General features: G+C 40.2%; 1 protein-coding gene across 48 annotated transcripts in view; it reads right to left on the bottom strand.

Annotated features, from left to right (window-relative positions):
• The window catches only part of OSBPL6 (oxysterol binding protein like 6), a 209,120-nt gene that overhangs the window by 168,449 nt on the left and 25,626 nt on the right, over positions 1-15,045 (bottom strand). For 6 of the 48 annotated variants that reach the window (XM_017003266.2, XM_047443126.1, XM_047443159.1 and 3 more), the window contains exon 2: positions 3,932-4,019. The exons of the other annotated variants lie outside the window; for them this stretch is intronic. The gene's annotated coding sequence lies outside the window, so the exon portion shown is untranslated. The remainder of the gene's footprint in view (positions 1-3,931; positions 4,020-15,045) is intronic. 48 annotated transcript variants of the gene reach the window in all.

The following is a 15,045-nucleotide window of genomic DNA, read 5'->3' as shown; positions in this document are numbered from 1 at the left end:
GTATTTTTTAAAAATGACTCTCTCTCTCTGTCTCTCTCTCTCTCTCACTGGTAACAAGCCGGTAGGTTATACTGCGGCCTGAAATACATTTTATTCTAAAGGGCTTAAGTCCAGCAAAGGTTGGCAACTCACAACCTGTGAAATATTTAATGATGACAACCTGAATTGGACAGATATTCTCTCCAACTCCATATTCATTCAGATTCAACTGCAAAAGTTGATGTTGTTGTCATTATTATTACTATTTCATTTTCTAAAGTATTATTATGACAGGTACCATAGAAATTGAGTAAATGATATGACTTCAGACATATATGGTAATTAGCATTAAGAACTGTTATGAAAATATTTCCATTTTCTTCCTATTAATGTAATACTGAGTGAACATTCAGTCTTTAAGACTATATGATTAGTATTATTAAATAGCTGAATAAAGTAAATTATTCAACTCTTGAGAAAAAAAAACTGCCACTAGAGAACTATTACTGTCTCAATATGTAAAGCATGAGGCAAGAGTATTTTCAGTGTCTCTAGAATTGTGTCTACTGTGAATAATATTACTAATGATAATTACTAGTGCTTATAGAAGAATTATCATGTGCCAGATACTGTGCTAAGCTCATCATCCTAAGTAGATCAGCTTAACATTCACAACAACGCATGAGGTGGGTACTGTCACTAAAGACTCAAAAAATAGTGAGATTAAATAGCCTGTCCATGGCCAGATCCCTTCTGATGCCAAAGTTCAGCCTCCAGGTACTGAACATCGACTGAAATCTCCCTCCCTGCCCATGTGTCATCACCTCCTTAACATTTCCAGAGGCTGAGGGATCCCCAGGATGATGCTCTGAGTCATGTGAGTGAAATCAAAGACACTGACGTCTGATGAGATTTTTAATCTGACACTAAACATTTCAATGACTAAAGTAATAATATCCCCAGTAATTCTGGATGAAATAGCATTGAAAGCAGAACTGCCAGAAATGAAGGGGTCCTACTCTCAGATGGTTGAGAAGCCTCAGCAAACACAGAGGATGCAGCCATAATAAAATAAGGCCAAGTAAAACCCATGAAAATGGCCACAGTTTTCAGAGAGCAAGGCTGGTTCGCAGGAATTAGATATTCAGCATTGGAAGTTGGTTGCCACCCGATTTCTAACTTCACCTTTACTGTGTATTTCATTTCTGAAGCAAATTCAAGGATTCTTTTTTAAAGGGGAAGAAGCAAATTCCAAACCTATCCAAGCCTGAAAAAACTCCACTTCCCATTTCTGCCCTCAGAATATCGAACAGGTTTCTTGAATCAGCTGTTTTGAAGGTACTTGAAGAATTGTAACAAGTAGAAAATAAGAATGTAAAGTTCCCAATATTACAAAAATAATTACCATCTAGGCAGTACACCATGGGGTGTTTCTACTCAGGCCATCAGGAATTAGCTTTGTATAATTGCTTGATATCCAGTGTCGGTTGCAATTACAAATTATCTGAAAGTTTTAAAAGAGTCAGGTGTTCTGAGTTATTCTGAAGTGTTTCTCAGAGACAGGAGTTCAGCGTATACACGAGTACATCTGAGGCCCAGTAACAGGTCCTACCCCCACTACACAGAATGGAAAGGTACTGCGAGGGATATTTCTGGGGTACTGCTTTTGAAAGACCAATTGGGAGCTGTTACCAGAATAAAGTACTGGGCTGAGTAGAAACCTCAATATTCTGGTAATAAGAAAAAAAAAAACAGCATGTGATTTCAAGACAGTAAAAACAATAAGCAAAATGTAACATGTTACTTAAATGCTAAGAGTAATGAGCTAGGTAACTGTTTCCTCCTCTATAAAGGAATAATAATAGCAGCTAATGATTATTTTGTGAAGTGTGACAGTGTTCTACTCACCTTTTGATTTAGCCATCACGACTACCTTATAGTACAGGTTCTATTATCCCATCTTACATATGAAGAAATTGAGGCTCAGATAGGTTCAATAGCTTATCCAAGATCATGCTGCTGGTTGAACCACAGCTGGGACAAGCACTTTTGAGTCCAGAGCCTTCCCCTCTCTTTAACCTTGGTGCCCTATGTCTCTGGGATTAGTAATTTCCAAACTTGTTTACTTCCTGGAAGTCAAGGTACTCATGAGAAACATAATTTGAGAGTCAGAGGATGAGGGTCAAAAAAGAAAAAAAGCAATAATTGATATATTAAATTTAAAGTTAAAATATACCTTTAAGATGTTATAAAAATATATCTTCATTATCTTAGACCAGATTCTAGAATAAGCAGCAAAATATAGCAAATGTTTAAGAAAAATGTATAGGAAAAGCTTCAAATAGAGGAAAGCTATAATATTATTTTGGCTAAGTGAGAAAAGATATTATTGTTTTACCCAGTTTATGGATCTGAGCAGCAAAACACCTGTGTCTAGTTTCTATGGCATAGGAGTACAGTTTAAGAACCCCTAAGATGATTATCAAAGACATGGAAATTTCAACAAGAATTAACCGTGTTTAAGTTTATAAATTTGCTTAATAGATTTGCAGAGATTAAAAAGGATGCTAGACCAGGAGTTCAAGACCAGCCTGGGTAATGTAGCCAGACCCTATCTCTACAAAAAGGTTTGTTTGTTTGTTTGTTTTTTAATTAGAGGGACACAGCAGTGCACTTCTATAGTCTCAGCTATTTGGGAGGATAAGGCAGGAGGATCACTTGAGGCCAGGTGTTCAAGGCTGCAGTGAGGTGTAATCATGCCACTTAACTCCAGCCTATGTGACAGAGCAAGACCCTGTCTCAAAAAAAAAAAAAAAAAAAAAAAAAATGGGACCACCCTGGTGGTGGTCAGGATGGGGGAAAGGGCTGCTCATATTGGTATAGAAGTTAAGAAGAAATTACTTAGGCAGATAGTAAGGGTACAGGAGTCCTTGGTAAGGTTTTCCTTTAATGACAAGCAGCCCCAAAATAATTTTCCAACAAAGAGCAGCCTGTAAAATCGAGCTGCAGACATAGACAAGCAAGCTGGAAGCCTGCACGGGTGAATGCCAGCAGTTGTGCCCATAGTAATATACTACCTGGGACTAGGCATGTTCAAAATGGCGGCTCCATCTTCTCTTTTTGCCAGCCACATGTACAACAAGAAGCAGACAAGGTGGCCTGGCCAAGTGGAAAGCCCATTTGCATAATAAGATTAGGTGGGGTGACCAGCTTTCCCTATGTGCTTTGTAAACATTACACCTGGTCAATCTAACCGGAGGGCCCTAAGTAAATCAGACACCGCTGCTCAAGCCTTCCTATGAAACCTGCTGAGGTCCACCACAGGCCAGCCTTTTTCCCATTTTTGGACACCCTTCTCTCACAAGAGAGAGAGCTGCTCTCCTCTCTCCTTTCTTCTGCCTGGTAAACTTTCCATTCCTTAACCCACTCTGTGTGTGTGTCCCTGTCGTTAATCTTCTCAGTGTGAGATGACAAACCCCAGGTATCTACCCCAAACAACAATGCTACTTCAATATGCTGTTGTGGGTAGAAATGTATATCTATGTTCACTATAGTGCTAATTATAAATCAGAAAGTGAAAGCTATTGAAATATCCCATGACAGAAATTTGTTAACAATCAGACATGTATTTATTGATATGGAAGGTATTTGTGCTATAAGGTATAGGGAAAAGGCAGACTGCAAAACCACACAAAAGCATAATCCAATTTCTTTTTTATATTTATAATCTAGGTAGGTAGACAGACCAAAATGTTAATGGTTATTATTTTTGTAGAGTAGGTTTAGGATACTCATACTTGTCCTTTGAACAGTTACACCTAGGGCTAAATTCTGCCTCCCACACAATGCACCACACACAACCTTCTCTGCATTAAAGAAGTTGGTCAGAGGCTGATCTTGGTGACTCAAGTTCTCTCGGGCACCTTTCACGTTTAGACATATTTCATAGTACCTTTGAGACTTCCTCGGGTATTATATACATCCATACTTCATGTCTTCCACTTTTCCGAGGAACCCAGTATGCCAGTGAAGATCAGAGACTATGAAATAATAAAATCAAGGTTAAGGTCTAGGTTGCAAAATAAATCAAACTGTGCCCACCTATTGCAGTAAAACTGCAAACTGCCTTCAGTATCCATTCTGTTTTTTCCTGTCAGGAACAGAACAACTTCCTCCACCATCTCACCTCCACAAGTTTTCACTTGGCACATGATCAGCCAACTAATCTACAATTTCCAGCCTCAGAAACAGGGTAGGGCCATTTAGCTCTACTCAATGGGATCTGAGCAAAAGGATGTGGGCAATGTTGTGTAACAGCCTTTAAAAAAGGAAAACTGCTTGTCCAATCTGTCGCCTCTCCCCAGCACCCAACCTTCCTAAGGGTAGAATGCAGAAGTGCTCCTAGCTGGCCAGCTTCTACCCTGAAGATGAGAACAACACTATGAGTGATGGTTGAGCAAAAAGGCAGAGAGACTGAGGGCTGGTCCATTTCTAGATAGACTAAGTGGTTCTCAAACTTTAATGTAGATCAGAATCACCTGGAGGACTTCTTTAACTCAGATGACTGGGCCCACATCCAGAGTGTCTGAGTTGCTATTTGCATTTCTTTTTTTTCTTTTTCTTTCCTTTTCTTTGAGACAAGGTCTCATTCTGTAGCCTAGGCTGGAGTGCAGTAGTGCTAGCATGAGGCTTACTGCAGCCTGGACCTCCTGGGCTCAAACAATTCTCCCACTGTAGCTTCCCACGTAGCTGAGAGTACAGGTGCACACCACCACACTTGGCTAATTTTTATGTGTTCGGTAGAGATGAGTTTTCGCCATGTTGCCGGGGCCAGTCACAAACTCCTGAGCTCAAAAGATCCACTCGCCTTGGCCTCCCAAAGTGCTGGGATTACAGCAGTGAACCACCTCACCCAGCCCACAGTTTGCATTTCTAACAAGTTCCCAGGTGATGCTAATGCTGCTGGTCTGGGGGTAGGGAAAGGGAATGGGAAGCACGCCTTGATAACTAATGATCTAGACCTGCTTTTCCATTATGGTGGTCACTAGCCAAATGTGGTTACTAATCACTTCAAAGGCGGGTAGGGAGACTAGGGAACTGAATTTTTTATATTATTTCATTTTAATTAATTTAAACACCATGCACGGTCTAGAGATCATTCAGAGACAAGGCTCTAATCTATCTTGTGTGTCCTCCAGAATTCACGTGTTGGAAATTTGGTCCCCATTGTGGCAGTATTGGGAGGTGGGGCCTGTAAGAGGTGATTAGGTCATTAAGAGGGATTCATGTCACATTCTCAAGAGACTGGGTTAGTTAACACTAGAGTGGGTTGTTATAAGGCGGGGCCACCCCTTGTATTTTGCCCTTTACACACACATGCTCCCATGACCTTCCACTTTTCTGCCATGCTGTGAAGCAGCACGAGGCCCTCATCAGATGTGGCTGCCCAATCTTGGACTTCCCAGAGTTCAGAGCTGTAAACTAAATAAACCTCTTTTCTGTATAAATTACCTAGTCTCAGGTATTCTTTTATAGCAACAGAAAATGGACTAAACACATCAATATTCAGTTCAGTTAATGGTAAACTAAATATATTTAGAACATCCTGGGTTTGTGAATCTACTTTTTCAACTATAAATTTTATGAAATCTAAATATAGATCAAGTATTTCTGATGAAAATTTAGCATCCAAGTTCAGATGTGCTGTAAATGTAAAATACACATCAGACTTTGAAGACAATATGAAAAAAAGAAGGTAGACTATTTCACTAATAATTTTTATATCATTATATGTTAGCATAATATTTGGGTTATATTGGGGTAAATAAACTGTTAAAACTAATTTCACTTGTTTCTTTGTCCTTTTTAACTTGGCTATTAGGAAATTTAATATTATGATATATGTGGCTTAATTTTTTTATTTTGTTTTTTGAGATGGAGTCTCGCTCTGTCACCCTGGCCGGAGTGCAGTGGCACAATCTTGGCTCACTGCAAGCTCCACCTCCCGGCTTCACGCCATTCTTCTGCCTCAGCCTCCCGAGTAGCTGAGACTACAGGCGCACGCCACCACACCCGGCTCATTTTTTGTATTTTTAGTAGAGATGGTGTTTCACCATGTTAGCCAGGATGGTCTCGATCTCCTGACCTCATGATATGCCCACCTTGGCCTCCCAAAGTGCTGGGATTACAGGCATGAGCCACCGCGCCCGGCCGTGTCTTAAATTTTTATTGGATGATAACTAAACTATTAAATGAATGAGAGAAAGTGGAAGAGATACCTTCTATTTTGTTTGCACATTAGTTTTGTTTGGAATATCTTTGTAAGTGCTGCTTAGTCTATATCCTGATTACCTCTTATGCAAAATGTATAATTTCCAACTGCTGTAAATGTACTGTGCTACTCTTTCTTTTCCACTTGTCCTAGTCTTTTTTTTCTTCTTTTATTCTACCTCAATTGCACATAATTAAATTAAACATAATATTTGATATAAGACACATTCACATGTGGGTCATGAAGGCTGCCCTCATTCACACATGCTTCATAGAGAAAACACAAAAATTAAACGTTGATAATAACTTATCTACCCAAATGGTCCTCCCATCTCATCTTCCTGCCTCCCCCTACTGAGGTAACAACCATCTTGAACCCCATACTCAACATTCTACTGCTTTCCTTTTTAATATACTATCATCTTGTTTATATCTATTCCTAAAAACTATGGTTATAATTTTAGTTGCTCTTAAACTTATAGAAAAGGGCACTAAATGTAGTATCTTTAGAATTTTTCCATTTAATATTGCATTGCTAAAATTCATCTATGTTGCCGTTATTTCGTTATACTTCATTTGGATTTTGGCATGTATTCCATTGGATGACTATACCACAGTTTATCCAACCACTCTTTTGTCCGTAGACCTTTGAGTTTTCCCAAGTTTTTTATATGTACAGGGCAAATATCAACATTTCTGGACGTATTTCTTGATGCACATGTGCCAGGATTTATTTTATATGTAAACCTGAAAGAGTAAAATGCTGAGTTGCAGGAAATGTGACTGGTCAATTCTATGACATAATGCCAGAACTATTTTCTGTGGTTGTTACAACAATTTACTAGCAGGATATGAGATCCTGTGGATCCATATTTGCCCTAGCTCTAGATATTAACAGACTTTTCTATTCTTGCCAATTGAATGGTTATAAAATGGCATCTTTATGGCAGTGACTTGCATTTCCCTCCAAATTACAAATAATGTTAAACATTTCTGATAAAACTTAGCCATATGTATTTCCTTTTTTGTAACTGTAAAATACCCATGCATATCCTTTGTCCATTTTTCTAGTGGGTTGTTCACACTTTTCATCCTGAGTTATTGGACTTCTTAATATATTCTTAATATATTCTACTATCCTTTCATCTTTTGTGTGTAGCCATCACCCAGTTTCAAAAATGATCAATTTTGTTTCATTTATATCTCCAGCTATTCAACCTTCATTCCCAGAAATTGTATTGAAGCAAATCTCACACAACATACAATTTCAATAAGGCCTCTTTAGATTAACAATATTCTTAATTTTAATGGAGTCAAATGTGTCAATATTTTCTTTTACATTAAATGCTTTTTGTGCCTTAAGAAATCTTCTCTTTCTCTGAAGACTAAAAGTCTTAAAGAAAACTAAGGAAATCCGTTTCTATCCAAGTCTAAAAGTCTTAACATTTTCCTTCTAACATTTAAGACCTAGAACCTTCTGAAGTTGACTTTTTTGTATATAGTATGAAGCAGGAATCCGTTAAAGATAACCATTTCTTCTCTGTTCCATATACTGAATAGTCCCTCCTTTTCCTACAAATCCGACATACACCAAAGTTCTAAACACATGTGAGCATGTCTCCAGCTCCTATAAAAAGGATTATTTCATAAATAACTTCTTTTCCAAATGCTTATGCTTCCAAAGGGCAAGGAGATCCTTATAGAACAGGGATATGTGCACACTGTGAAGGTTCTTATTCATTTGCCTCTTCCCACCCCAGACCCATTGTCTAGCCTTCTCTGCCCTTCTCTGGGCTCCAGGAAGCTGACCTACACCACCCAGCATCCCTTGCCCACTGCACCACCAGCATGGAAGGTGACTGCACCACCCAGCATCCTTTGCCCACTGTGCTACCAGCATGGAAGGTGACTGCACCACCCAGCATCCCTTGCTCGCTGGCTTCCAGAGGGCTTTGGCTCACAGGAGCCACCAGCAAGAAAGTGAGAGCCAGAAGAAACGAAGTATCTATGCCCAACCCATCTCCTTGCCCACCCCTACCCAGGCTGTCACTGCATCCACACTTCCTCCTCCATGACTAGAGCTCTCAGTGGGCCCTAGGAACACAGCTTCCTCCCTTGCTGCTTATGGCCCAGAAAAGGTATTGGTTCCTTCTGTTACTAGCTCCGGGCTGCTTTGCCTTCCTTTGGGGGTTCCCTGGACTCTGCCCTCACCACTTTAAGTCATTCTGTCATTAAATATTCTTCAGGTAAATCTTCAGGATACACCATCTGATATGGTTTGGCTCTGTGTTCTCACCCAAATTTCATCTTGTAGCTCCCATAATTCCCATGTGTTGTGGGAGGGACCCAGTGGGAGATGACTGAATCATGAAGGTGGGTCTTTCCTGTGCTGTTATCATGATACTGAATGGGTCTCATGACATCTGATGGTTTTAAAAACGGGAGTTTCTCTGAACAAGCTCTTTCTTTGCCTGCTGTGTAAGATTGTGACTTGCTCCTCCTTGCCTTCTGCCATGATTGTGAGGCCTCTCCACTCATGTGAAACTGAAAGTCCAATAAACCTCTTTCTTTTGTAAATTGCCCAGTCTCGGGTATGTCTTTATCAGCAGCATGGAAACAAACTAATGCACCAGCCCCTACCTCCCAGGGCTCTGACTGACACCACGGTTTTCTGTAACTACAGAATCCCATCACTAGAGAACATCTGAACAAACTCAAGGGTCTGAAATCCAGACACTACCTTCACTGTCCAATATTTATGGAGTGACTACCTTGGATAGCATACTTTACAAAGTGCTGGATGTGCCAATTTCAACTACTGTAAAATTTGCATCTCTCTTATACTCAGTCTGAGATCTGCAGAAAGAGGGGGTCTTCAGAACAGTTCTGAGTATTTCAGCAGTGAGTCACAGCCTTTTTTCTTTTCTTTTCTTTTCTTTCCTTTTTTTTTTTTTAAAGTAATGGGCACCTGACCAAGGGTTCTGTGGTCAGCTTACTGCTCTCTAGAGAGGCTTTCATCCCAGGGCTACACAATGCCTTTCTGCCTATTAGCATCTGCATTCATTCAGCTTATTAGAGCAACTAAAACACTGCCACCTGTCATAATAGCCGTCCTGGCATATCTATAGATTCTTTAGATGTGTTTTGTTAAACACACACACACACACTCAGAGAGAGAGAGAGAGAGAGAGAAAGAGAGAGAGAGAAGCAGAGAGAGATAAAGAGAGAGACAGAGACACAGAGAGAGAACTATTTATTTTTCAGACAGGGTCTTGCTCTGTTGCTCAAGCTGGAGTGCAGTGGTACAATCTCAGCTCACTGCAATCTCTGCCATCCGGGCTTGAGCGATCCTCCTGCCTCAGCCCCCTGAGTAGCTGGGACTACAGGTGCATGCTACCACATTCAGCTAACTTTTTAATTCCTTGTAGAGATGGGGTCTCATTATATTGTCCAGGCTGGTCTTGAACTCCTGGACTCAAGCAATCCTCCCAGTTCAGCCTGCCAAAGTGCTGGGATTACAGGGTTAAGCCACCACACCTGGCCAGAACTGACTTTAACTACACTAGTTTCTAATCTATAACAGTTCTGATTCATGAAAGAAACAAATAAAAATGCGTCCTATAATTCTGAATGGTGTCATTCTGATTCTGGACACAGGATTTACTCAGGCTGCAATGGAGAGTATAGGAAGAAGACAATGTTATTTCCTTAAAAAGGAGTCAATCAAAGACATTCACATGCAAGGCTGTTTCAGTGAAAAAATATTTTCATTGCATTTTCAGAAGTCTCCAAAGTTCTTTTTCCCTCTCTAGATAGTCATTTATTGGCCATGGATTTTTTTTTCTAAACATAACTTTTCAATCTGCATTCTTGGTGTACTTCTGCTCACTCTGCAATAGACAGTTTTCTTATTCACAAATCATTTGCTCTTATTCACTATTTAGTGTCTACCATTTGCTTCAATGCAACCTTCTCTTCCCTTCCAGCCTCTCTTACATCCCTTCTCTCTTGATCCCCCTTTCCTTTATTGTCTCCCTTCCCGGGTTCATTGTGAGATCATGGCATCCCCTCACTTCCCCCCAATATTAACCAAGTGTCCTAAAATCACTGCTACTCCAAGGACAGAGTTCCTCCCTTCAGATGCGGCGTTCCCCTTGGGAATTGGGCTATCCTTGGGGCATTTGATTAGAAGCCAGTAAGGTTGCCCAGGCAACCAATCCAAATTGTCCTAAGATGACTGGCAAGTGTGTTTTCCGCAGCCTGATGTGAAGGTCACACTAGCCAACCCTGTGACAGTTAAAGGCAAAGTCTCTGTGCAATCAGCCAAAGGCTCAGAAAACATCCATCAAAATGAGTTCAATAACATTTGAAATAATCATAAAATTGTCAGACTCCCAAGGCCATAAGGACCCACTCAAAGCTGTTTCAAAGAGCCAAAGATACCAGATTTGAGAATGAGTAACAATAGGTGAGTGTGCTAAAATCATTAAAAAGAACACTTTAAAACCCAACCAAATGGAATCCAATCACTTAGTCAGTGTAAATACTAAATACTCAGTTTTCTCAAAGGATTTAAAAACAGTTCTACCCCAAGGCAAAGAATAAACTGAAGGGCCTGGGAAACGTCACTCCATATCCTTTTACTTTTTACAATTTCCTTAATTGTAAAACGTATTTAATAAACAAGAGCCAATATCGAAAGATATACATATACCCACTTAACTAACAATACATTTGACAAAATCTCAATCAAGATTTGAATCCAGTGGGGGAAAATATCTACAACAAGGCAGACAAGAAATCCATGTCTCTAATACATTATGCTCTCACAAAACAATAAGCCAAAACAGGAATATCTTTAAAGAAAAATGGGAAAAACACAAAGGAGGGAATGTAACCACAAAATTCAAATGGCCAACACAATACAGAAAAATGCTCTATCTGAATAATAGAGATGCGATTTAAGACAATGTAAAATCACTTTTCACATAACAGGTTGATAGAGAATCAGAGTAAACTTTTAGAGTGAACTAGTAACAAGTCTTACAAGGCTTCAACATCTTTAAGAAGCTATTTTAAGCATAAAATCAAGCAAGTACATACTCCTGTGTACAAAGATGTTCATCACAGTGTTGCTTATGGCAACAACAAAAAAATAGGACACAACGTATGTGTCCACCAAATCTCTGCAGCCATTATAAACAATAATAAATATAGAGCTACCAACTTGGAAACACTGGGGAAGGGAGAGGTTTATAAAGCAGCATGTGTGCATGACTATTTTTATGAAAAATAAATATAATAAATGATTTACAGGAATATAAATACTAGAGAAGAAAATATGAGTATTTAACACCAAATATTATCTATTTCTGGATAGTGGGATCATTTATAGGAGATTTTTATTTCTTGGCAGAGGGTCTATCTTATTTCTCTCTGCCCTGTACAAATATTACTTCTTATAACAACATTTACTTTTCAAATGTTAAAAGGACTTACAATTAATTTTTATGCATACCAAGATTCTGTTTTATTTATTTATTTATTTTTGAGACGAGTCTTGCTCTGTCACCCAGGCTGGAGTGCAATGGCGAGATAGATCTCTGCTCACTGCAAGCTCCGCCTCCTGGGTTCACGCCATTCTCCTGCCTCAGCCTCCCAAGTAGCTGGGACTACAGGCATGCGCCACCTCACCCAGCTAATTTTTTGTATTTTTAGTAGAGACGGGGTTTCACCGTGTTAGCAGGATGGTCTCGATCTCCTGACCTCGTGATCCGCCCGCCTGGGCCTCCCAAAGTGCTGGGATTACAGGTGTGAGCCACCGCGCCCAGCCGATTCTGTTTTATTTTATCAGCAAACCTTTGTTTTGGGCCAAGATTATGAAATCTCTCTGTAATATCTGAGTCTCTACAAATTAGAATATAGAAGGTTTATGGACATCTATGGATTTTAGGTAGATGAATGAACCAAGGATTAAAATTACATCACCAGCATCAATTCCTGTAAACCAGGCTGGTGGCAGGAAAGGCTGCAGCCTGGGGTTGCTCCGTGACAACTACAGAAGCAGAACTTCCTGGGGCTGGAAGAGAACGTGCTGCAAACCATCAATGCTTACAGTCTCCATAAAGGTGACTCTTTAGTTGATGACTTCCTTCATTCCTCTCCATTCCCAATGCATAACATAGAAAAAGAGAGAGAAAAGTTGGTAGTGTGGCAGAGGACATGGGATGCGAAAGTGTGCACACTTTCAAACACAGCACTCCTTGGTGATTTACTCCAGTGGGAACAATATAAAGGCTATGCCTGTGACAGGTCACTTCACAGTACAGATCTGAACTCAGGAAAGTGAAGCCATTGATTTATACCTGCCTGCCAGGTAACAGTATCTAAAACATGCTACTTCATGTATTGATTGTGAAACCAGCCCTCCTCCCTACTCCCCAAAACATGGTTGGTTGACTGAGTCAATTATCCTGTGAGTATCACTCACTGACCAAAGCCACATCTTTGCAAAGTCAATCCTCATCTCTGTAAGAATAGACTGTACTTGGCTGATAGACGGTGCTTACTGATGATCAGCTAAATCACTGTAGGAATATTTAGAAGTTTACTACTTGAAAAGGCCAGTGAAAAATGTGTGACACGTACATAATCGACAAAGATTTCTGATCAAATAATTATCTTAGAACTTAACATACATTTCCAATAAACCATGCTCATAGCTTCATCTACTCTTTCAGAGTATTTCCTTCAGTTTCGCTCAATAATGACCCAGTCACGTATTAAAGAGCTGTATATTATCTTTACAATGCATTCTTTCAAGTAGTACTACCTGCTTATTAGGTGTTTCCCAGTGATGTTTCTACCCTACACTAAAATAGCTGACAATACCCTGTGGTCACCCAAATTTAAACAACTTCTCTCAAATTCTTTATTTTTATTCAATTTATATTTATTTATCTTCTTTTCTTATTCTTTCTCTGGCCATCTCTAAACTGCACACAATCAAGATTTCCACAGACTGTTTTTGGTGGCTGGAATTTACATTTGATATGAATAGTCTAGTTGAAATAGCCAAGCCCCAGAATGGAGGGGGAAACAAAGAGCCTCTTTACCTCAGAGAGCCCTGAGCTGCCTCAATGGGCTGAAGAGTCAATTACCTCTGAGCTAAACCCACCATAAAGACGGCACTCTGGGCAGATCCTGGCTTAATGGACACAGCCTGGGTCTCCCAAGAGGGCGATTTTTTTCAGATGCTTTCACTGCTCAGCCACACTCCAGCCATGTCCTGTTACTGCATATTTCCATGCAGCATCTCAGCAACATCCTAAACATCCAAGATCGACGAGAATATCCCCCTTTAGGAGATCAACCTGATGTCAGCAACAGAGGTAGAACCATAAGTGACAGAGTATGGCTGCATAGACAACTCATCTGCTGCTGCTGCTGCAACATCACATTTTACTTTCAACAGAAAAATACATTTCAGCTTCTGCATTTTTCCCTACGAAATTGAATAAGGATGTGTACTATGAGATATATTTTATAAACAAAGATTTCAAATTCCAATAAGAACACTATTCACTTTTTGGCTGGGCACAGTGGCTCATGCCTGTAATCCCAGCACTTTGGGAAGCTGAGGCAGATGGGTTGCTTGAGCCCAGGAGTTCAAGACCAGCCTGGGCAACATGGCGAGACTCTGTGTCTACAAAATGATACAAAATTTAAAAAAAGGCCCAGCCATGGTGGTGTGCATCTGAAGTCCCAGCTACTAAGGAGACTGAGGTGGGAGGATCACTTGAACCTGGGAGGTAGAGGTTACAGTGAGCCAAGATCACCCCACTGCACTCCAGCGTAGGTGACAGAGTAAGACCCTGTCCACCCGCCTCCCCAGCCCCCCAAAAAAGAAGGAGATTGTTCATTTTTTAACTTAAAAAAAGGCAGGGGTGGGGGTGGAGGATATACTTCCCATTAATCCAAGGTAGTCAATCAGCAAAATGGAACTCGATGTCTAAAGCCTCAGCCAAACCAGTTTCCACATTCTAGCATTTGTTATGTGTATGCCTCAGGTTCTATCAGCACATAGTAGTTATTACATTTGAGCTATGGGGGAACAGACACCTCCATGGTCAGCTTTTAGACCTACAGCATGACATTATCCTCTGTCGATATCTCCAGCCTATTTCCTAAGCACTCGAAATCTTAAAACTTTCAGTATTAATCATATTTTTATGTTTCTGAAATCCCCAGACCACCACTTAGGAGGACATCCTGAACCTGTTGCCTTGAAATAGCATTGCTCGGAAGGCAGTGAGGATGATGGTGAATGTGGTTATTTTAACCTATCCAGCCTGCTAGGATTTATTGTCCACAGTTCAGCACATTGAAGATGACATGCCACAGTGTCACTAATTGCTCCTGACATGTGAGGTCTACCACTGGAACCTCTGAATATAAAATGGGTCTTGGATTTAACAGCACGTAATTAGTTGCTGTTACACTCCAAAAGTAGAATCTTGCTGGAAAGGGGTCCGATGGGATGGCTTTCAGCAGCAACATGCACTGATTATAAATAATTACTTGCCAAGAATCAGCCATTCGGAGGCTGACACATATTTCAGTTTCCCTCCCCAACACCCTAGCCTAATAACTGCTACAAAACTCACTTTCTCTGGCTCCTCATTGATTCTCATGTAAATGACACCCTTGGCCCCTAGGGTGCTATCTCCAAACCCAATTGTTATGGAACTAATACCCTTAGGCCAGATAGTAGGATTAAAGCACCACAGGTTTTGA

This window comes from Homo sapiens, chromosome 2 (genome assembly GCF_000001405.40).
Source record: "Homo sapiens chromosome 2, GRCh38.p14 Primary Assembly".
In the NCBI taxonomy this organism is placed as follows: Eukaryota; Metazoa; Chordata; class Mammalia; order Primates; family Hominidae; genus Homo; species Homo sapiens.
Note: the sequence above shows the minus strand (reverse complement) of the source record. Positions and strands in the feature narration are given on the sequence as shown.